This window comes from Homo sapiens, chromosome 12, assembly GCF_000001405.40.
Source record: "Homo sapiens chromosome 12, GRCh38.p14 Primary Assembly".
Taxonomy (NCBI): domain Eukaryota; kingdom Metazoa; phylum Chordata; class Mammalia; order Primates; family Hominidae; genus Homo; species Homo sapiens.
The window spans coordinates 54,077,608-54,100,733 of record NC_000012.12 but is presented as its reverse complement, the minus strand read 5'-3'; the positions used below and the strand labels follow the sequence as shown (position 1 = coordinate 54,100,733).

The window sequence follows — 23,126 nt, the reverse complement described above, 5'->3', positions numbered from 1 at the left end:
ACTACTTGGGCCTTTTTTCCTTCTCCTTTTCACCTACCTGAATTATTACGTTTATTTATAATTAACATATATTGCATGTAATATTAAAAAGAAAATAAAACTTAGAAAGACTTGGTGGTGGGTGCTGCTGAATTAGGTATCAGAGCCCCAGTTAGGTGGGTGTCCTGTGGAGTTTCTGATGAATCAAAAGCCATTGTTGGGCACTTTAAAAACATGGATGCCTTGAGCCCTGGGCAGCCCCAAGGCTGTGCCTACCGAGGGCACCCACAGAGGATTAGAACTGGGGCACTGGAACGAGAGGACCATCAGAAGCAAGGCCTGGATGCTCAAATTCCCACCACAGTCATAAAACTTAGGAGCATCTAAGTCGCAAGCAGCTTTTAGTTTCTTTCTTAAGAATCCAACAAATCTTGTGTTCCACCTTGTAGCCTTCTATAAAGTGTGACCATTCACTTGGTTGATGATTAATGATTCAGCTAGTAATTATTAAACAGAAAGGAATCAGAAATAAGAATCATAAATTTAAACAAAACATTTCATGTTCTTAATGCTAAACTTGAAGGTAAAACAGTAGGAAGGTAGAAAAAACAATGTTGCTATTTGTTTTGTTCTTTTAAAGAATGAAGAAGTCAGATTTCGTGGTCCTTGTGTAGGCTCTGTTCCTGACAGGGTTTCTCAAACTTTTCTGCCAAAGTCCCTTTGATATTAGAGGCAGGAGGGTAAACTTGGACCCCAGCAGTCTGGGGGCTTGCCCTGAAGGGCCATTAGCAAGGACCAATTATTTCTTTTTTTTTTTTTTTTAAAGACATGTTTAATTAAATAATAGGTTACTTCATCTTCGTTATTTGCATTATATAAAAATAGGATTTTTTATTAATAAGAAAATAGATTCTTTTGTGGCCTTAAGTTTTAGCTCTAAAATGATGCAAACTTTGCATTTTATAACATAGTATATTTTATACAACTTAATATAAAAACGATGTTTTAAACCATTTGCCATCAAAAAACCTCTGTGGCCCTTGGAGAGGCTTCTTATATATCTGGGGACACCCTCAGCGTGCAGCTACTGCAGTGTGGCCTGGGGCACTTGCACCCAGGTGAGAGGTGCTACGGAGTGTGGTGGTTTGTTAAACTAGCTGCCACTGTCCCAGGTTGTATCTTTAATGACTACCATTTAGTGAGCACTACTATGTGCCAGACTCTACGCCAAATGCTTTTATATGCTTATGCCATTTAAATTCTCACAACCATCTGCCTAAAGCCACACAGCTGTAAGGTGGCAGAGTGGGGATTCAAACACCTGTCTGCTTGGTTTCAAAGCCAACTGTGACCCCCTGCTGACTCTTAGAGGCCAAGGCTGAAGCCCCTGGCTGAGGGAGTGGTGGTGACCTGGGGAAAGGACTGTTGTGGTGCATCTGGAAAGAGCGTGGGGGGTGGTCCAAAGGTAGTGCCCTATCTCAATTGATTGTTCACAGTCAGTTACAGATCCAAATCCTTGTTCTGCTCCTTCCCCCTTCTCACTACTGCATTTGACCAGTCTTTAAAAAAAAAATACGTACAATGCAGGTCTAATACGAGAAGTGTCAGAAAAGCTAGGCTTAGGTCTAGCTCTGCCTTTGACTAACTATAGGTTCTTTAGGGAGGCCCTCAGCCCCGTCTATAAATGGGAATATAAAGGTCTGTGAAAGGGGCAATGGAAAAAAGATGAATGTTGAGCCACATCCCAGGCTCCTTTCTTGCTCCACTGCTTATCAGCTGTGTCATCTTAGGCACATCACTACGACTCTAAGCTTGTTTCCTCACTTCTAAAATGTGAAGAACAATACCCACCCCACAGGGCTGCTGTGGGGATGAAAAATAATACACATGAAACACCTGGAACAGTTTACATATAGTAGTTGCGCAATAAATGCTTCCCAATAGTAGTTATCCTTGTAATAGTAGTATTAGCAATACTACTAAAGTATTATTATATAAAGTAGTATTAGCAATGCTACTAAAGTATTCATATTTTAAAATTGTGATTATTAAAGTGAGAAAAATGTATGAAAGGAATACTACAAATTAAGGTAATCCATTAAAAATAAGGAGCTGGAGGCTAGGCATGGTGGCCCACACCTGTAATCCCAGCACTTTGGGAGGCCAAGGTGGGTGGATCACCCGAGTTCAGGAGTTCGAGACCAGCCTGACCGACATGGAGAAACCCCGTCTCTACTAAAAACACAAAAAATTAGCCAGGTGTGGTGGCGGGCGCCTGTAGTCCCAGCTACTCGGGAGGCCGAGGCAGGAGAATGGCATGAACCTGGGAGGCGGAGCTTGCAGTGAGTGGAGATTGTGTCACTGCATTCCAGCCTGGGCGACAGAGCAAGGCTCTGTCTTAAAAAAAAAAAAAAAAGGAGCTGGAGGAGGCCCACCTTAATGTACGCCAAAATAGTTCTGCTGGTTGAAGGCCTGGAGTTCCCTGCAACGGGTGGGGAAGGGGATTAGCCTGGGGAAATAATGCCTGGGGCAAGTTGAAGCAGAGTTAGGGAAGATCCAGGTCCCTCTGCTGAGCCAGATTGGAGGACAGAGCCTGACCCTCCATGAAGAGAGACTCTCAAGGTCTCTTTTAGCTTTAACATTGGCTAAGTGTGATTCTATGACTCAACCAGTCTGCCCTAATTCCTCAGTGTGGGCAGGACATGAAAGACCACCCACCAGTATCTCAGTGAGTTTGTGTGGCGCCCACCTTGGCAGCCACACACAGACACTTCCCAGAGTCTCAGTGATGACGATTCTCTCTAAGGGGAACCCAAGCCTTAACCAAAGACCACCTCTCCATCTTCCTGCTGGGGCCTTGCAGGTCAGCCTAGAGGGAGTTTTCCAGAGCAGGTGGCTTCCGAGTGGCCAAGATCATGTGGGCAGGATAGGTTCTCTTCTCGCTGGGCCTTTCCCCCCTAAGCTGGTGTCCCAGGCACCTCTCTCAATTTGGAAATCAGATTATTTATGGTTTATTTTTGACACCAGATCATCGCTGCCCAAGTTTCATCAATTTGTCACTGTTTTTATTGTCAGCAATTGCCCATAACTGGAGCACATTTAAAATGTCATTGATCTTGGTATTACAGTGTCATAATCTGACAGTAATAGGTGTAGCCAGCACAGGAAGCCCAGGCCCTGAGATTGATGGCGTTCAGCACACCAATTATATTCTGTCCATCTAAGTGATAAAAGAGTACGTAGGAGGCATTCAACAGATAAATTAGATATCGCTCCCAATTATGTCCTTTATTTTATGGAGTCATATGCTCCCCTTAGAACTTTTTTTCTTCATTTGGCTTGTAAAGGGGAATTACTTGACCCCCCTAAAGACTGGGACTGCCTCCCCTGCCTGTCCCAACTTGGGTTCTACCCTGATCCCTTCTGACTGGCTCATAGTCTTTCACCTGGGCTTTCTCTGGAACTCACCTAGGAGTTCCCCAGTGTGGTAGGTCCACAGGTGTAGAGGGAAGGAGGCAGAGGTGCTTCACCATTTGGGAAGGAGTTGGGTCAGGCCTTTGGGAAGGACTAGGAAGTCTGGCAATGCCTTTAATGTGACACTGCCCAAATAAATGAGACTGGGAGAGAGGCTGGAAAATGGGTAAAAATCCTCCAGTCCAGACAACAGAGCCTTCAAATTAGGACAATGAGTAATTGGCTATAGCTGGGGAGGAAGAGGATGGTAAAAAGGTTTTCAGTCCTTAAGAAGTGAATTCATCCATCCCTCTACCTCCACTCCAGACTGGGTGGGGCCAATTCAAGCCATTCCTCGGAAGAACTCCCGGAATCTTCCACATCCCCATTCTGATCCATATCAGATGACTTCCTCAGCTCAAGTCCTAGCTCTGCCACTGTGGTAGGGACATAATGCCAGCTTTCCTGGGGGAGGCAGAGGGCTCCTGTTTGAGAAAAGCCCCAAGAATGGTTCATTTCCAAGAAGAGAGCTCACCTGAGGCAGGGAAGTGCCTGGCCAAGGAATAGAGGTACAGTGAAGGCATAACTTTATTGGAGGCCTGGCTTATAAGCATCTTAAACTCTGAGGACAGCCTTGACCTGGTCCGGACCCCTGTTTCCCCATCCCCCAAAGCCAGCAGGAAACACGGCAGAGGCCGAGACACCAAGTAGTAAACAGTGATCTAGGTCCATTGATCGAGCTTTCAAAGAGAAAGTGTCCATGGGCTGGGCTGCTCCCTATTGCCCTGTTGCCATCTCAATGTTATAAATAATTCTGGCACTAAGTGCCCTGTTACACCGAGGGGAAGTAGTTCTTATGGCGTGAAACCTGAGAATATGGGTCATGGGAGGAGGGGTGACTGGGGGCAGGGGTAGAGATGGGGAGCGATCACCCCAAGGCTCCTCAACTACACCCCTAGGCTGGTGATAGATGAATTTCTGGAGCAGAGTATGGCATTTCAAGTGAAATGTTTATAGGAAATGAGTGTGATTTAAACAACGTCTTGGCTGATAAGCACCAGCCAGCTGTGGGGAGATGGCAGGCTAGAAGTGGAGGAATCAAAAGCCCAGAAGCCCCCAGTGTTAAGTAGCTGTCTGAAGCTCCGCTCAAACACACGCACCAGCTTTGGTCTTAACATGTTTTTAAGAGCTGGTTATGATTTCCTTGAGGGCGGCTCAGATTAAGACTAGAGTGGAGCCCCCAGCTGAGTGCCTTCAATAACTGCCCATCACATCCTCTTTAGAAACAGGAGCCTCTTCCCCTTGGCTCAGGGACCCTGTAACTGGGGAGGGCTGTGAAGCTGCGTGGCTTGTCAGCCTGTTCCCAGGCAGCATGGGGCCTGTCTGCCCTTTGCCTGGGATCCTGCCCCGGATCCCAGGAACAGAGATTGAGCCCCATCCACAGAGAGCTCTCAGCCTTCAAGAAGAGAGAAAACATACAACCTAGAAAAGAAGAGAGGAAGCAAAGAGAGCAAAAGGATGGAAGCCAAGGAAGAGGAAACTGTCACCAAATCCAGAATTTGGGCCTTTCTCACCACATGCACTGCTGCCATCCTGGTCCAAGCCACACATTTCTCACTTGGATTAGTGCAATGACCTTTCAACAAATCTCCCTGCATCTTCCCTTGGCCTTCTGTGATCTATTCTCAACACAAAAGACAAAAAGACTATTTAAAAATTGAAGTCCAGGCCAGGTGCAGTGGCTCACGACTGTAATCCCAGCACTTTGGGAGGCCAAGGTGGGTGGATCACGAGGTCAGGAGTTCAAGACCAGCCTGTCCAAGATGGTGAAACCCCGTCTCTACTAAAACTACAAAAATTAGCTGGGCATGGTGGCAGGTGCCTGTAATCCCAGCTACTTGGGAGGCTGAGGCATAAGAATCACTTGAACCTGGGTGGCAGAAGTTGTAGTGAGTCAAGATTGTGCCACTGCACTCTAGCTTGGGTGACAGAGTGAGACTCTCTCTCAAAACAAAACAAAACAAGACCCTGAAGCCCAATCATGTCTTTCCTCTCTACTTCACTCAGAGTAAAAAACAAAGTCCTTAAGTTGACTTACGAGGCCGAACATCGTCTGTTCCCTCCTTACCTCTCTGATGCCATCTCCTCCCACTCTTGCTCACTCCCAGAGACTTGCCAGGCATGTTCCTGCCTCAGGGCCTTAGCACCAGCCACTCCCTCTACTTGGAATACTCTTGCCAAGATGTCTATGGGGCTTACTTCCTCTCTCACCTCTAAGTCTTTGTTCAAATACCATATTCTCAGTGAGATCTCCTTGACAACCATATTAAAAACCTCAGATTTCCCCTCCATGCTGATCCTTCTGTACTTGATCTATTCCTTTTCTGTAACAATTATAATTTTCTAATATATGATATAATTTACTTATTTAGTAAGAATATTGTTCATTATCTGTCTCTCTCTGCTAGAATGTAAACTCCACACAGGCGGGGGGTCTTTCTCTGTTTTGATCACCAATGTATTTATTCTAAGAACTTGGAATAGTGCTCAATAATAATTGCTTAGTGAGTAAATGCAAAGGATGAGGTTCACCAGGGGAGGGTTTGGAGAAGAGAACAGAGGGGAGGCCATCCCAGGCTTGGGGTGAACTTGTGCCTTATCTCACAACAGGCCATGTGTGAGGATCTGAGAGTCAGAGTGTTGGGCACAAGTTCAAGAGTCGGGCTAGGGCATCACCCAAAATGGAGAGATTCAGTTAACAAAGAGACTAGGCTGGATTTACCTCTGGAATCTGGTGGAGGACTTAGCTTTAGGTTGGGATTTTACCATCTTCATGACCAAAGCATACTTGGGGACAATAATGCCAAAGGGATGTGCAGGGCAAGAATGAGGTGGTTGGGAATGGAAGCAGACTGGGAATTCAGGTGGGGGAGGGTAGCTGAAAGAACAGGCATGTGTCTTCTAAGTCCGGAAAAAAGATTGAGGTGGAATTAGAGGGCCTGAAGGAAAATTGTGTATGCAAGTGGGAGGAACAGCCTGGGTCACTGGAAGCTATCATCTCCAAGAGCATGTTCCATCTCCACTGAGGGCAGAATCAAAAGCCATGGGCTGCAACCAAAGTCGAAGGAACTAGAGTGAGACATCAAGAAAGGCCTCCCAACAATGTGACAGGTGGTGGAGGGGAAGCACTGGGCCTTGTTCTCTGGAAAACTTGAGCAGGACCTAACTGGGTGCACACCTGAGCCAGGCTAACCCAGAGGGCACTGTGAGGCTCTGGGGTGTGAGTGTGGTACTGGAGCCCCGGAGAGGGTTCCTGCCTCTGCCTGGCTCCCAACTCCATCCTCTCACCTGCGAGGCTTCTGAGCTTCTAAGCATGCAGAAATGTCCTCTCTCCTGACCTCAAGTTTCTGCATCTTTTCAGAGTGGAAACTGAGAGTATTTAGTATTCCAAGGCCCCACCAGTCCAGGGGCCAAAACGTGCGTACCGCCTCTCCTCAGAATATCAGTGCTCAACTCAGCTTTGTGGTGGCCTCAGGGTACAAGCCAGGAGAAGCAGAAAATACCTTTGGAGGTTATACAATTCAGTGGTTACTGCAGTTATAATGGAGTGAGGACATGGGTGGCCTGGGAGTTCTGAGGTTCCGGGGAGACTTACTTGTCACTGTATAACTTTTGGTGCCTTTTGAGTTTTGAACCATGTACATGTATTTCCTATTCAAAAACATAAAACAATTAAAATCAGATGAAAGAAACAACAATAATAACAACAAAGAATAGGTCTAGGGAAGTGGGAACTTGATGCCTCCAATTGCTACCCTGAAGGCAATGACCTGCCTCCTCTTGCCCATGTGTACCCTCCTCCTCATCTGGCATCTCCATTCTCTACAGGCTCAGAGAGGGGTGTGGCTGGCCTGATGTCACCCAGCATTTAAGACTAGCAAAATTCTGGGGCTTAGCTGTCCAGACTCTCAGTGTTGTCTTTCTTTTCTGATCCTCAATGACCTCGTCTACTCATTGACCTCTCCATGTTTTTGGCAGAACTTTGCATATGCTACACATCAACCTTCAATGGGTTATTTTTAAAACTGTATGGTCTTAAATGCCGTCTTTCCCAGGAAGTAATCTCTTTTCACAAAGAGAAAGAGATGACAGCTCTCCTCTCCCCCTGGTGTGGTATCTGATGGTTCATTCCCTCCCTTCCTGCCTCCCTCCTCCCTACCACCCTCTACCACTAAAGTGGCTCTCCACTGAAACTTGGCCCTGTCTCTGATGAGATATGTGAACTTGAGCAAGTCATTTAACCTTTCTGTGTGTCTGTTTCTTCATCTATAATTGAGGATCCTGACCTTCCTCCCATGGCTCTTCACTTATGCATTTGTACAGCAAGCATGTATTCTGTGCCTGGTGCTGAACCTGGCACTGAGGATCACACAAGACAATGTATGTGAAGTTAATACAGAGACACAGAGAGTTACTGCCAAGGCCTCCTTCCTTGGATGCTGTTCTGGGCTGGGTGCTCCAACCCCCTCATCTGGCATGCCCTCGGAGGAACTGCTTCACAGTCTACTCCAAACCTCTCAACTTCTAGCATTGCTCCTGGGCTGAAGCCGATATCCTGCTCTGCATGAAGGGTCAGGGGGTGCAGAAACAGCCTATTTCCCAGGCTTTTTCATTGGTTAGATCCTCAGGCACCACTTTGCCTACAAGAAGGAATAATGCTGAAATCTGTCTGTTCGTCTTTAGTCTGGAATTTTCAGTGTCCACCTCTCTTGCCCTCTGTGGGCCTTTCCCTGGAAGTTGGGCTGGAACAAGGGGTATGAAATGGATTTTATTCATGTCCTCACTCTGCTCATTTCTCTCCTTTCCTGAATCCCATGCATCCATGGAGATTGGTACAGTGGCTAAGATTCTGGGATTGGAAACTCACATTTGTCTCCCTCCAAATGTAAGCTGGGCTGTGGAGGAAAGATGGTCCCTTCTTTAAAATGAACACCACCATCTCAGAGTATATAGGAGCTTGCTTCAGGCAGAGGAGGCAGAGCTGCCTTCCAGAGCTCTTGCCAGGAAGCTGTCCCCACTCCCTGCCTGACCACCGAGGATTGGGTGAGCATCACTGGGAGGGAGGGGTGTTTATAGAAAAAACGTGCTGCTTCAGCCCTGGTCATCGCTGATGGACCATGGCAGCAAGGAAGGTCAAGTCCAGACTAAGGAGGTACTTCTGGTTGTCAGGGACTGGGTTTAAGGTGAGAGGTTGGTTGGAACTACTCAGACATGGTCTTCCCAGAGCAAGGAGGAAGGATGAGATGATCTGGGAGTTGTGAAGGACTCAGGGGTTCCATGATGTTGCAGAGCTGGCAGTGACTGGGAGGATGCCAGGGAGATGTCAGTTCACCCATGTCTAGAGCAGAAACCCCATGGTCAGAGACCAGGTATCTGGAACCCCAACATTCCCAGCATAATGTCTCACACAAGGCTAACTGGAGACTGAGGAAGACAAGTCCTTCCCTGGAAGATGGTGCCAACACTGTGCTCACAGAAGGACAGCTACTTTAAAGCCCCAGCAAGAAAATGGTCCCAGACTGTGGGACCTGGAAGTACTTCTTCATGTCCAGCCTCAATCCTCCTTACCACAGCTCGATTGGATCTCAGTGCAACCTGTGGGATTTGTCCATGCCCAGAGGAGAAACCCAGCAAGGAATATGGACTTTGCTTTTAGGCCTACCCTGTTGGCTGTGGGAGATAGAACAAGTTGGCCAAACTATCAAGTACCTGTCTCCACACCTGGGGAGTCCCCAGGAAAGTGGAGAGGGAAGATCTTCCAGGGAACTGCCACCCTCCATGAGGAGATAAGCAGAACAGCAGAGGGCAAGGAAGGTTCAATGGCCAGGAGAGGTGGGGCTCAGGGAGTCCCTGATGGCTTGGGGTGAGGGAGCTTCCTGGATGCTCAGCCCCTCCAAGCTCCTGAGGAAAGACTGTAGCTTCTGGAGGTCAGGAGCTGATCCTGCATCATCTCGGCAGACGAGTGCCCAGCACACAGCAGATGCTCAAAACACATGGGTTGAATGAATGAGCCTGGGGTCAAGAGCCTGCCCAGCTAGCAGGTGGAGTGGGTCTTTGGAGAAGGGATTCCCCTCTCTGGGCCTCCATTTCTTCATTTGTAGAATGAGGGGCTGCAGTAGATTGTCTCTAAGGTTTTGTCGGCCCCTGACGATCTGTGGTTTCCTATTTCCCTGCTCTCTCCTCAATTCCTTTCCAATTCTCTTTCCCTCTACAGCTTCTCTTTTCCTTTCCCTTTGAGTCTTTTTCTTCCACTAACCCCCAATCTCTGCACCCCTCCCCAGTGCAATTTTCAGTCTCTCCCCTCCCCAGACAATTTCTCTGGCTTTCCCCTTTACAGGTATTTCTTCCTCTCTGCTTCTGGTAACTGCCCCCATCACTACCCTTCCCTGATGCCTTCAGTGTTCTGCGCCCCCTGCCCCCCAAAAGCCGCCCATTCTAGTGCCCCTTTCATCCACCTTAGATCCCAGAGGCGGGAGATTGGAAGAAAAGGAGGAGGGTCCTAAAGCAGCCTCTCCCCTGCCCCTGCAGTGGCCCCACCGCGATGTCCTCGTCCCCCCGCCCCGCCCCCCTCCCCGCCACGCCTCTCCCTCAGCAGCCGGTGCCGCACTGCGCCCTCGCCCCACGCTAATGCGATCTGGAGAGACCCGGGCGGGCGGCGGGCAGTCTGGCCCAGCGTCCCGGGCGGCGCTGATGGATGGTCCCCTGACAGTAATCGCAGAATGAGGACGCGCTGGCGACGCTCTTGCCCGAGGCCCCGCTGTTTGGCGAGCCCGGGAGTCCCTCCCTCCGCAGCGTCTGCCTTCCGGGCGCTCTCAACTCACTCCGCTTTGCGGGAGGCTCAAAGCCTCAGGTTAGGGCAGAGGTGCGGGCTTCCTCTGCTCTCTCTCTCCCAAGACACTGGTTTCTGTTTGGGAACAGATCCCTTCTTGGATCCACGCTGCTTCTGTGATTCTGAACAAGCCACCCATTTCCTGGAGTCTCAGTTCTCCCTTCTGTATAATGGCCTTTAAAGCCTGGTGGAGTGTTGGGGGCACGGGAGATAATACTGAGGAAAATCACGCTCTCTCTTAAGTAGAAACCGAATTTCGCTTTTAGTTTACAATGCTCAGAATAATCTGGCCCAAATGTGCGAAGCCGAGTAAGAGCTGAGTGGCTACTCACACACAGAATATATGTTTATACACATACACATAATGTTTTTAGCATACCAGGACTGCTGCTAGTCGTCTTTAAAGAGAACACTAGCCCAGGTACTTCTCCAGGGAGGCAACTGTCTCCAGCAGGACTGTTTCTCCCCTCTACTGAGGCCACCTACCTGTCTTAAGCCCCCAGACCCCATCCGTTCTGGGGTTCCCCTGCAACCCAGGGCCAGGTTGAGGTGGTATGCGGGAAGATCTCCCTTTGGAAAATGTTTCTGGATAATTTCCCAACTCCTTGACCATGTTCTCCCCACCTCACCCACATTCAGATAACACAGGTTCTAAGGCTCCTTCACTCCTCCACCCCCGGGGGATACTCCTTGGGCCTGGCCCTGTGGAGGGGCTTGGAGGTGGGATCCAGAACCAATTGCAATTCTGAACGCACACCCAGCCGCCTCCTCACTCCCTTTTAACCTTTCCCTCTTGTCAGAAGCCAAATTGAGTTAGTCTTGAGTTTTGATTTAATTCCCGAAATGGAGTCATAATCTGCTTAGTGTCCTTTTTCCCGAGTCCTAGATACTGAAGTGTGTGTGTCTGTCAGGGGGAGTTAAAAGAGCAGCTCTGTGACCTTTGGAGGACCCTCACACTCACTCACCTCCCAAACACCACCAAACAGCAGGAGACACCATGGCCCTGAGTTGCTGGGTAGTATGATGATGGTACTGACAACTCACATTTACTGGGCACTTACCACATGCCAGTACTGAGACATGCACTATACACGCATTTCTCACTTAATTCTCACAACTACCTTTCAGGTAGGTACCATTCATATCCCCAATTTACAGATGAAGAAACTGAGGCTTAGCGAGGTTAAGCAATTTATGTTCCATCCTGCAGTGATTACAGACGGTCCTCGACTTATGATGCTTTGACTTACAATTTCTCAGCTTTATGATGATGCCGAAGTGATATGCATTCATTAGATACTGTACTTCTAATACTCATACAGCCGCTCTGTTTTTCACTTTCAGCACAGTATATTATAACATGTTGAATCTCATGTTGAATACATGAGATGAATACATATCTCATGTTGAATACATGAGATGAATACATATCTCATGTTGAATACATGAGATATTCAACACTTGATTATAAAATAGGCTTTGTGCTAGATGATCTTGCCCAACTGTAGGCTGATGAAAGTGTCCTGAGCACTTTAAGGTAAGCGAGGCTGAGCTATGATGTTTGGTGGGTTAGGTGTATGAAATGCATATCCACCTTACAATATTTTCAGCTTACTACAGCTTTATCGGGACACAGCCTCATTGTAAGTCAAGGAGAGTCTATTATTAAGTGGCAGAGCCCAAATTTGAAACTATACAGTCAGACTGCAGAGCCTGTGCTCTTAACCACTTAGTTGTGTGACACCTGGCAAGGTATTTAACTTCTACACGCCCTGTTCCCTCATTTGCAAAACACAGGTAAGTAGGGATGATAAGATATTCCCTTCAAAGAATTATGTTGATTAATTGAGCTAAGGCATTCACCGTACTCACAGTAAGCATCCAATAGTTTAGGTGCCCTACACATTGGAGCAGGGTTGAGGAAGGGAAAGGGTACAATCCAATGGGCTATTAATTATTCATTGTTACTGTTGATAATAATAGTTATCAAGCATTGAGAGCCAACTGAGCATAGGCCACCCTACAAGGTAAAAATTATGTCTGTTTTACAGATGAAGAAACTGAGTTTCACATAAATTAGGTAAATTACCTAAAGCCATCCAGTTAATAAGTGACAGAACAGAGCTCTTGTTTAAACACTGGGCCCTTGACTCCAAAGCCTGCAGTTCCCAGCACCCCCAGGGTCATCAAAAACTGGCCTCTCCTGGGGGAGGTCAGGGCTCAGGCCAACAAGCCCAAGTCACACCCTTTACCACCTGGGACCTGATTTTCTCCAGGTGAGCAATGTTTTCTTAAAAGAACAGGAGGACAGTAAATAATTAACTAAGACAGTTTCTCCCTCCCTGAAGCCAAGGTAGAACCTCCCCCCTACAGCCAACCCCCACTCTCCTCACTCCTGTTTCCTCTGTGCTCAAGTTTGTGGCCATTAAATAGAAGAGGAGAAAGTTTGAACCAGGCATGAAATATTTATCAGTTAATTACAATATGCAGATTCTGTTCCTAGGGGTGATTTATCTTTTTGGAAATATAGGAAAAGATCCTGGAAACTTGTATCCTAATTGCTTGGCCTATTATTGTAGCAACCAGGTAGAAACTCCATTTACTATGTAACTACAAATTTTCCCACTACTGGAGGTATCTGCCTCTGCTTCTATCACTGGTGGTCTGGGGACCATATGCTTTTCTGATAAGAGATGAGCCTCTTAGAGGTCAATCTGTCGATTCCTCTGTCTCCTCTTGGGGTGGCCCCTTTGTAAATTCTAATAGTTATAGGAAATGAAAAGGGTGAGAGTCTGAAATTCTGGGATCTCAAGAGAAGCTAATTCTAAGTGAAAACTTCCCCAACTGAAGCAGTGCCACTGGTAGGGGATGTCCAAGGTTGAGAAGCAGCTCTCAGCTGAGCATCCCTCCCCTCCCTTGCTCTGGCAGAAGTGTCAGCCCTCCCCTTATCTCTTGTATCATTTCCTAGGGCCTGCATCTCAACCTCTGGCTACACATTAGCAACCTGGGGAGTTTTAAAAATCCAGATGCCCAGGCCCTACTACAGGCCAACCAAATTGGAATCTCTGGAGGTGGGACCCAGGCATCAGTATTTTAAAAAACTTGTGGCGGGGCATGGTGGCTCACACCTGTAATCCCAGCATGTTGGGAGGCCGAGGCGGGTGGATTACCTGAGGTGAGGAGTTCGAGACCAGCCTGGCAAACATGGTGAAACCCCGTCTGTATTAAAAATACAAAAATTAGCCAGGCATGGTGGCAAGCACCTGTAATCCCAGCTACTCGCGAGGCTGAGGCAGGGATAATTGCTTGAACCCAGGAGGCAGAGGTTGTATGTAGTGAGCCGAGATGTGCCACCGCACTCTAGCCTGGGCGACAAGAGCAAGACACCATCTCAAAAACAAAAACGAACAAACAGAAAAACTCGCTGGGGATTCCAGTGTGCAGCGAAAGTTGAGACCCTCTAGAGCTAATAGAAGAGTATCAGTGCCCGGTAAATGGGCCCTGCTTATCTGCAAGACTGTGTAATTTTTATCCCTCCCTCTCTGGTGCTGGAGGAGGCAATTCCTTCACTTTTTGGAATCTGAAGAACATCTCTCTTTCTTCACAAGAAGCTTGTAACACAATAACTACCACTTATCAAGCCCCTGCTGAATGCTCGGATCTATGCAAATAAAATTCAATCTGATCTACAGAACAACTCTATAAGGTCAGCGGGTATGTCTATTTTATGGATGGCTCAGAGAGGTTAAGTAATTTGCCCAAGTTTGTACAACTAGCAAGTGTCAGATCAGGGACTTGAATCACAAACCCATGCTTTTAACCACTGTGGTACACTGCCTCTCAGTTTCTCAAGGCCAGAAGGGAAGGGCTTCAGGTCCACCATATGAAGTGCCTACGGAATGTCTTGGGGAGGGAAAGAAGAGAGAAGCAAGGAGAAGTATAGGGAAGCAGACAGGGGCTACACATGCATAGGGCATGGAGGGCAGAATGGTGGCTGGGAAAGACTGAAGAGGGTTTGTGGGGCTAAGAGGAGGTACCTGAAGGAGGGCGTGGTAAGCCGACACGTGCATGGGAAGGGGGCAGTGGCTATGGAGATAGCTGGGGAGTGGGGGAACGGGGTCCAGGAGTGGGCGCCAGCAGTTGGAACATCCAGAACAGTGAGCAGTGCCCATCGTGGACTGGGTGGTTGGGGAGTGGGAGGGACCTCGTGTCAGAGGAGGGGTCTTTGTGAGCGTGCAGCAGTGAGGAATGCTCCGCCATGAATACTAAGGGCAAGAAGAGAAAGGGCCAGAGGGGGCTGGGTGATGTTTAGCTGCTGGGGTGATTAATGGGGGTGAACGGAGGGTGAAACTCAAGCCCTTCCAAAGAAGATGGTGGGGAATGGTTGTCCAAGAACAACAGTCCACTGTTTCATGGAGAAAGCCAATGTCCAGGGGAGGGGTGGCTGAGAAGGACGCTAGGCACAGTTGCTCCTTCCCTTTTTTCCCAAGTTCTCTTTATTGACCACCAAACAGTAAATTAAACTATATTAGCCAGTTCCAGGGGACCCTCTGGATGGGCTTCCTACCTGCCTCCTGGCTTGGGAGAGACCAAGGAATGTTGGCGTGGCTTGGAGAAAGAGTGAGTGAGGTCTGGGCTGAAAGATGAGATGACTCCATGGACCACCCCCTCGTGGAGCACAAAATGGTGATGTGCTGGCAAGAGCCACTGGCTCCCTCTGGACCAGACAGGCACTGAGAGATCCATGGGGGCTGGGCCCTCAGGTGTCCTGTAGAAAGTGGTAGTGTTCTTAGAGCAGTTTTCAGAGCAGCCCCTTGGCCTCAGGGAGGGACGCAGGGCTCCTTTTCTGTGAGAGAGAGAGAGTTGGGGAAACAAGGAGAGAGGGCTTCCCATGGCCCTGGTTTCAGGGTATTGACCTGGGTTTGAATAATGGAGATAAAACTTGTAGGAAATAACAGGTTTAAGCCACTCTCCCCTCATTTCCTACTTCTGTCTCTTCCTCTAGGTACAGCTGTTGGGAGCTGCCTCTCCTGCCCTCAATCTCCCTGCCTGTAGTTCCAGAGGGAAGAAGAGGGGGAAAAAAGGATGAAGAGAATTATTTCAGTGCTGGGGGAGGTGAGCTTATAGCAGGGATTTAGATGGGAATTACCTCATGGGATAGGAGCAATTTTCTCCCTCTCCAGGCCTCTTACAGATGTGAAACAACTGGCAGATCTGACTTTCCCACCCCTAACCATCGGAGGGGATGATGTGTCTTGAAACCTGTGCCTCTCGATTGAGAGGCTGGTGGGGGAAAGAGAGGTCAGGAAAAGGGGCCAGATGTGTGTTCAGGGGTCCCCAGAGAGTTGAGGGAGACTAGCATCTCCTTAGGGTAAGGAAGGCAAAATGCCCATTCCTGATCCCAGATTGCTTAGATACTGTGCCTGGGTGTCCTCCCACCTCGCCTTAATTCCTGTCTCCACACACAGCTTGGCCAAGTTTCTTCCCCTGTTGGAGTCTCACTCCCAATCCCCTACTCTATCTCTCCAGGAGCCTACAAAGCACTTTGAAATCTGAAGTTTGTGGGAGGTGGCTGTATTGCACAAATACTCTGAGGTGCAACATGACTTGACTGGTAATGAGGCAACCATCCCACCTAGGGCAGAGTTCAAGGACTGCCTTCAAGAGGGGCTGGCCTCAGTTTGCCTGTTACAGAAGCCAAGGGCTAACAGAGACCGCCCTCTGCCTCATAAAGAAGGAGATAAATGGGTCCACTGGAGAGCAACGGTCACAATCAAGTCTTAATGATGAATTAATAATTCATAATTACCCCAGACTTGCAGATAAGCACAAGCCCACTGGAATTATTTCCCAGGGAGGAACACAGTCAGAAAGGGTAGGAAGGGGACTTCAGTACAGACATTACTTCCAGAGGCCATTAAGTTCATTCCTCTGCTTCCCAACCAGAACCTGGAAGAGATCCATTAGCTTCCTTGGCTGATTTCTCCTAACAGCTACCACCCCCTGAGCTTCTAAACAGTGCCATATTGCCCCTCTGTTCTTCATAAGGCCAGAGGACCATTCCTGCCAAAGTGACCTCAGAGCCTGGACTCTGGATTTCTGGGGTCTCTCTGTTCTCTGCTCCCCATTCTGCTATTTACATACGAGGTCCCCTGTAGGAGGGCCTGGTGCTAGCTGTCCCGGCGAGATGTGGACATCTTTCTGGCTCTTCTCCTTCTCTTATCTAAGTCCTCACACAGTGGGAAAATACCTCTCCAACGCTATGTAGAAAGAGAAGCAGGGAGTGCCCCTTCTAGCGTGCATGCCTTTGGTTCCCAGATCTGGATTTGAGGGGCTGGCTCTATTTCTTAAGAAGACATTTACCTAGCATCGATCATGGAGATCGGGCCTAAATAGGGCTAGGGAGGCACACCCAACTCCAGACCCAGCTCTCTGCTGTTCCCCTTCCCAGTGCACACGATCCCAAATTCCCACTCCAGAAAAATTTTTAAAAACATATCTTAAAAAAACCTCGAAGAGCCAAGCAGACCCTCAGCTTCAAGGTATCTCCTCATTCCCTCTCTCTCTCTCTCTCTCTCTGTCTCTCTGAATCTACAAAGAAGGAGTGAGTTTTGTCTCTCCAAGTACTCAGAGCCTTAGATCACAAAGGGGCCTTAGATTCTGGTCTTTAGGAGATCTTTAACCACCATCTCTGCTGTGGCACGACCTTTTTCAAAATGCTAGAAAGAAGAGAGACTGGCTCTTAGACCAAGGGGATTTGGGATTCGAAAGGACTTCCAATTCCAGTTCTATAGATTTCCTTCCCATTAGCCTCTTCATGTGCATCAAATGTAAATGGCAGGCTAAACCTTCAGGATGAAGAGAGTTGAAAGACTGCTGCCTAAAAATACCCTTGTCCAAATCTGTGGGTGCAGAAGCACATTGAAAAGCAGCTACCCAGCCTGGGGGTGTGGCACATGCCTGCAGTCTCACATACTTAAGAGGCTAAGGTGGGAGGACTACTTGAGCCCAGGAGTTTGAGGCTTCAGTGAACTATGATGGTGCCACAACACTCCAGCCTGGGAAACAGAGCTGGACCCCATTTCCAAAAAAAAAAAAAAAAAAAAAAAAAAGTAGTTACCCAAGTAAGGTGGATGATCAAGTACACCCAGTGAGAAGCACACAAACCTTACCCTTTACCCAAACTCTCTCCCTTACCTGGCCCATTTCCGGTCTCTAGAGGAGGATCAGTTAGGGGGTGTGACCCAAGTTACCCAGATAATTAACGGTGGAAGCACGAGTTGTTTTTTTTTTTTCCCACTCCTTTGGCCTCTAAATATGAGAGATCTTTACATCTCTTGCCTAGCTCCCTCTTATTCTCTACCCTCTCCCCAACACGCACACAAATCCTAGCAACAAAAAATCCCAAATATAGGAAGACAAACCTTCCTGACCTACCATTTTGGCCCACCTGCAACCCCTGTCTCCCGCCCCCCCCCCCCAATTTTTTTCTCTCCTGAGCCTCTGCTCTTCGCTTCTAAAATAAAATAAAAAAAAAGAAGAAGGAATTTTCAATAGTCCCACTTGTCAAGCGAAGACCATCTTTTAACCTTCAACAGCAGCGAAAGCCGTGTGAACTCTCGGTGAACCAAGATTGAAGTCATAAATCACGCGTACAAAGGCGGCTGCGGAGGCTGGCGCGAGCTGCTGCACCTTTAACGCTTTCTGGGGCTGACAGGCGGCGGCCCAGCTAAAGTTCACAGCGCCAGGGGAGGGCCCGCCTCCGCCTCCCCTCCCGCCCCCGCCTCCCCTCCCCCAGCCCGGCCCCGGCCCCGGCCCCGGCCCCGGCCCCGGCCCCCGGCCCCGGACCGGCCCGCCGCACGGCCGCCTGAGCTGCGAGCTGAGGAGGCCCCTTGGCTGTTCCCGCAAAGGGCGGGGGGCTCATTTTCTCTACTGCCAGCCCGCTCCATCCTGGTCGTTTATTCCTTGCCTTCCCTCACCCCCCACCCACACAGCCTGCTGTATGTAAATAGGCAAATAGATCTACACGGACACAATAATTTAGCTCGTTTGGTCTTTGGCATTTTCTACAAGACCCCAAGAGATGGACTTTCCTTTCCCCTTCCTCCTTTTAGAAATGGCATCCTTCATCTCTGTCTATGCAGGCCCAATTATCCAGATCCTCGGGGCTCCAATAGGGTCTGAGTCATTGGAACCAGGAACACCTGGCTGAAACATGCCACATAATTAGATTTTCTTTTTCTTTACCTTTTCTTTCTTTTTTTTATAAGAGGGCCAGAATTAGCCTCTTCGACTGGGGCAGAGTAGCTGGGGTGTGGAAAAGGAACACCTTCATACAACTTCCAGCTTTCAGCCCCTTGGAGAGATCTCCAAGTTCCCCCGAGCCGCCAGGACTTCCTTTCCTCGATCTCTCGGCCGCCTTCTCCTCCTTCTCCGATCGTTTTTTTTCCCCTCCCCCCACTGTCTTCTCTACGGTTTAATTAAAGTTCAGCGACTCCACTTGCCTCTCCTCTCATTTCTTTCGGAAAGCGGAAACCAGACGACCCAGCGGCCACGGGACGAGCCGCCCCAACTCAACCCCAGCAGGACGCTGGAGGGGCCTCCCTCGCCCGCCTGTCTTCGCCGGCGCTGGTCTCCCGCACCCGGGTCTGCAGTCCCTCCGCCATCTCGCAGGTGTGCAGCCGCTAGGCCTGGGGGATCCGAATGACTGGGGCTGGATAGGAATGCCTTCGTGTTTCCCAAGACCCCCGGGCCTGCTCCACAAAGTTTGAAGGGTGGGTACACCCCGACCCAGGCAAGTTGCTCCCCCAAACCCATGACTGACTAATCTGATATGACAAAAGCCCATGATGGATTTGGTATATGTTAATTCACAATGCCCTTTCCTCCAGAATTTAACTATAAGTTAATACACACCGGAAACCACGCGCATACACGCTCCTTAATGGGCTTAGGTATTAGCGAGTCCTAACGATGCATACAAATGTGCTCTGCGCTCTGTAGGCCCCTCAAGATTTATGGGCCTTGAGCTCTCTGAAGCTGTAAACAAGGAGAAAAAAAAAAGAGAAAGCGAAAGCGACTGGGGGGAAGAGACAGAGGCCTGACTCGCCCCTCCAGGTTGTGGGAGAGAAGGGATTCTTTACGTATTTTCCTTTCCTTGCAAGCTCGGTGCGTGTGGGTTTTGGCGTTGGTCTGGGGGTGGTGTTCTGCCTGAATGCTGGTGTGCATGGGCAGTGTGTTGTTTGGGTGCTGGGGTAGGATGCCTGCCTCTTCGGATTGCTGTGCAGGGGCCTGAACACAGCAGGCATTTGTGAGCATATATGCGTGAGTGTGCACTGTGTTAGGGTGTGTGTGTGTGTGTGTGTGTGTGTGTGAGAGAGAGAGAGAGAGAGAGAGAGACAGAGAGAGAGAGGCAGGCTTCCCCCTGGGCCAGGCTGCTGTCCCCTGAACGGTGGTGAACAAATCTCTAACAACAATCATAATAACAATAAATAATGAATAATAATAATAAAACAGTAGTTAACAGTCCCTCCATAACAGAATAACAATAAAATGCAAGAGGAAATATTTTGAGGTGGAGACAGAAGAAGGAGTCAGGATCACAGCATCTGAGGGGGAGATAGGAAAGGAAGGGAGGAAGAAAGCTTCTTAATATGCTCTTGGCGGGGCTGGGGTTGGGAACCCCTTTCCCAGACAAGGGACAGAAGAGGGGAAGGAGGGCCAGGAGGCCACTCTTTATTGCTTTTTTTCTCAGGCTTCTGCTTTGTGTGATCAGGGAAGGGATCCCACATATGGGGATGGTTAATGGCTTTTGGGACTCTCTAGGAGCCCCTGTTTTAAGAAGGAGGCCAAATGTGCAGGCTCAGGCCAAGGGGCAGAGATGAATGAGGCGATGACCACAGCCTTGATCCGGCAAGAGCTCAGAGATGCCCGGGAAGACGGGAAGACTGGGGGCCCGAACGGAAGCAGAAAAACACTTATGGCCGCTGGGGAGTTGGGAGAGCCAGGCTGGGGCTTCGGCAGGCCCAGGGAAAGTTCCCTTTCTAGGCTCTTTATTAAAAAATTTAGAAGGAGGAGTTGAGGCGCCTTGAATTTTCCTTCGCGAGTTTGGAGACTAGCCGATTTTTCATGAAGCAAGCAAAGACCGCGGTCCCGGATCCGGCAACATCTACCTCATTCTCTCCAGGTACAGTTTTCTGGTCATTTAATTAGTTTGTTTTCTTGGGGGAGATGGGAATCACAGGGGTAGAGATAGTAAGTTTGCTAGAGAGGAAGCCACCCCACAGTTTCGGGTCTAACGAAATCCCTCCTTTAAAAACAATTGTACCCCCAATAAAAATAAAATTAAAGAGGAATATAGAAACACAAATTAGCCAACTTTTTTAAAAGAGAAAAAAGAAAAGAAAATCATCATAACAGATGAGCGTGAGAACTTCTAAAAAATTTGTCACAAACCCTTTCAGAGGTCTGGATTCTTTTTCAGTAGCCGGTGACCCATTTGGTCTGAAAAGAGAAATACACTATCCAGTGAGTCACTTATTTAAAGCCAGCACGCGCACACACACACACACACACACACACACACACACATATATTCAGAAAGCCCTGGGTTCCTTCGCATTTGAGAACAACACCGGGTGGAGGACGCTGCGATACCTAATCGGACAAAACAGCAATAAAATAAGACCGGTGGAAGCGCTGAGCGCAGGGTGCAGGGCTAGGGCCCAGGTTTTGTGTTCCAGGCCGCCGGCGAGGCAGCGGCCCCGGGCGATGGGGCGCCGGGCGATCAGGCACCGGCTGGGGACTCCGCTCGGCCTCCGCAGCCTGGCCTGCAGCCCCTTTCCCCCAGCCTCTGGGCCTCGTGGGCTCTCTCCGCTCCGACGCCTGGTCGGGGCTTCCCTGTTGAGAGGGTTTTAGGCCGAAGGGCCAAACGACTCAAGCCAGACTCTGCTTTTTCATTTTTCTCCCTTAGGCCTCTCCACTTGCCCGAGCTCTCAGCCACCAGGAGACAGAAGGAAGGGACTTCTGGGCTGCGTTGGGAGCGGGCACTGTCCCCTATCTACTCCTGCTCGGTTTCCCAAAGTCCAGCGACATCCGACCCTCCTGGGGGGAAAAATACCAGTACCCAGACACCTCTGCACCCTGTTATATGACTGGGCTTGCTTCAGGAATATCTTACAAAGAAGAAGAAGAAGAAGAAGAAAGAACAGCTTGGAGTCATGTTTACATCTAGTTCTACTGACCGGTTCCCATCTGGAGAGTTTATTTATAACTCCCTCTATAACTCTCTGTTTGGAGGCACTGGTGGCTCTATTGACAGACTGATGTCTAGGAAATATTGCTCTATGTCTAACCGTACCTAAATGTGCTGTGGTTGTATTTACAGATTTATGTTTGAGGGAAATATAATTATTTCCATTGTATTTGTGCATATACAGTAGTTATAGGAGCAGATTTATATATGGGAAAATATACGACTCTCTTACAGCCATCCGGCTTTATGTACATGTGATATCCTGACAGATTTATATCTCTGAACAGCTATATAGATAAAAACGTATATTGTTAGAATTATGTATCAGGAGATATATACTTATTGATTGTGAAATAGAGTAGTTAGAGCATTCACTTAGAGCCATATATGGCTATGGAGATATTTCTATATTATTATCACTATATATAGGCATATCTATTTATAACTACATAGTTATAAAAATAGACATAAATAATTATAGTCCTATATGTGCATGCTGCAATCTCTCTCTAGAGTTATAGACACTTTCAAATATAACTCTATAGAGAGATCTGTATGTATATAAGGTGTAATTATCTTGTGATGTTTTTACGTTGGGACTTAGGCCCGTTTGTCTAGAACAGACATCTTTATATGTAGGGGATGGGAGAGACTTGTTCACAGATATCTGCAGAGGGCCAACTGGAAACACTGTATCTGCCCTCTAGGAAACCAGCTAGGAGAGTTGTGTACTTATGGAGGGATGGAGTTACAAAAGGGTAAATAGAGCTCAGGGAGCCTTAAGGAGGGGAGGTGAATGGAGGGTGGGTGGGCTGGGTTTGAACAGATAGTGGGAGGAAAGGGGTAAACACCAGCACCCACCAGAAGGCGAGAACCGGTTTTGTGAGGGGCTGGCGCAGACGGCTGTGGACAAGGAGCTTGTAAAATGGGAAGCGGCGAACAGTCCCACCACCTCACCCTGAGACACTCTCCACCGAGGAAGCAGCCTTCAGTTTGGCTTTTAGTGCGCTGTAGGATAGGGACTGTCGTGTCCCTCCTGTAGTCCTAGAGCGTTTCTGTTGAACCCTAATTTTTAGGTCTCAAAGAGTGGGCTTCAGAGATAAAGAGGTTTAGGCAGGGACAGGGCGAGGAGCGTGGGGTGTACTTTCACTTTCCGATAAGTGAGGTAATCCAGGAAAGTGAGTTAATTTGGCCAAATAAAGCTTGTTTTTATCTGGGCCTCCTGTGCCTTGGCGGGGATGTAGGATGGGACCAGAATCTAGTGGACTGAGGAGTGAATTTGCAAGTATTGGGCCTGCTCTGATGGGGGCTTGGGGAGGTTGTCCTCACCACCCGCCCTCCTTCTCTGAGGCCTGAGTGGCCTAATTCCCTCTGGGCACAGAGGGACTCCTTCAGCTCCCTAACAGTGCTGCCCTGGGTCTTTTCAGGGAGAATTTGAGTTTAGGAACAGGGAACGTGGACTTACCCCACTAGATCTCACTTCTCCCACTCACAGCTACACCACTCTTACATCAGCCTCCTTCCAGGCACCGCTGGGCCAGGGGTCCCCAA

At 48.6% G+C, this 23,126-nt stretch overlaps 2 long non-coding RNA genes across 2 annotated transcripts in view, besides 2 other annotated features; one reads left to right on the top strand and one right to left on the bottom strand.

Moving 5' to 3' along the window:
* The window catches only part of FLJ12825 (uncharacterized LOC440101), a 63,981-nt gene that overhangs the window by 21,501 nt on the left and 19,354 nt on the right, over positions 1-23,126 (bottom strand).
* LOC100240735 (uncharacterized) lies at positions 18,911-21,895 on the top strand. Its single transcript, NR_026658.1, has 3 exons — positions 18,911-19,095; positions 20,390-20,507; positions 21,294-21,895. It is a non-coding gene; the product is annotated as an uncharacterized LOC100240735 (long non-coding RNA).
* Positions 19,378-19,597: an enhancer, noted in NCBI's record as "active region_6435". NCBI's record gives its function as "activates an Ori minimal core promoter by ATAC-STARR-seq in GM12878 lymphoblastoid cells {active_cell/tissue: GM12878}" and the evidence as "EXISTENCE:reporter gene assay evidence [ECO:0000049][PMID:35858748]".
* Positions 20,895-21,189: a silencer, noted in NCBI's record as "tiled region #1856; K562 Repressive DNase unmatched - State 4:PromP". NCBI's record gives its function as "represses a minimal TATA promoter and a strong SV40 promoter by Sharpr-MPRA in K562 cells {active_cell/tissue: K562}" and the evidence as "EXISTENCE:reporter gene assay evidence [ECO:0000049][PMID:27701403]".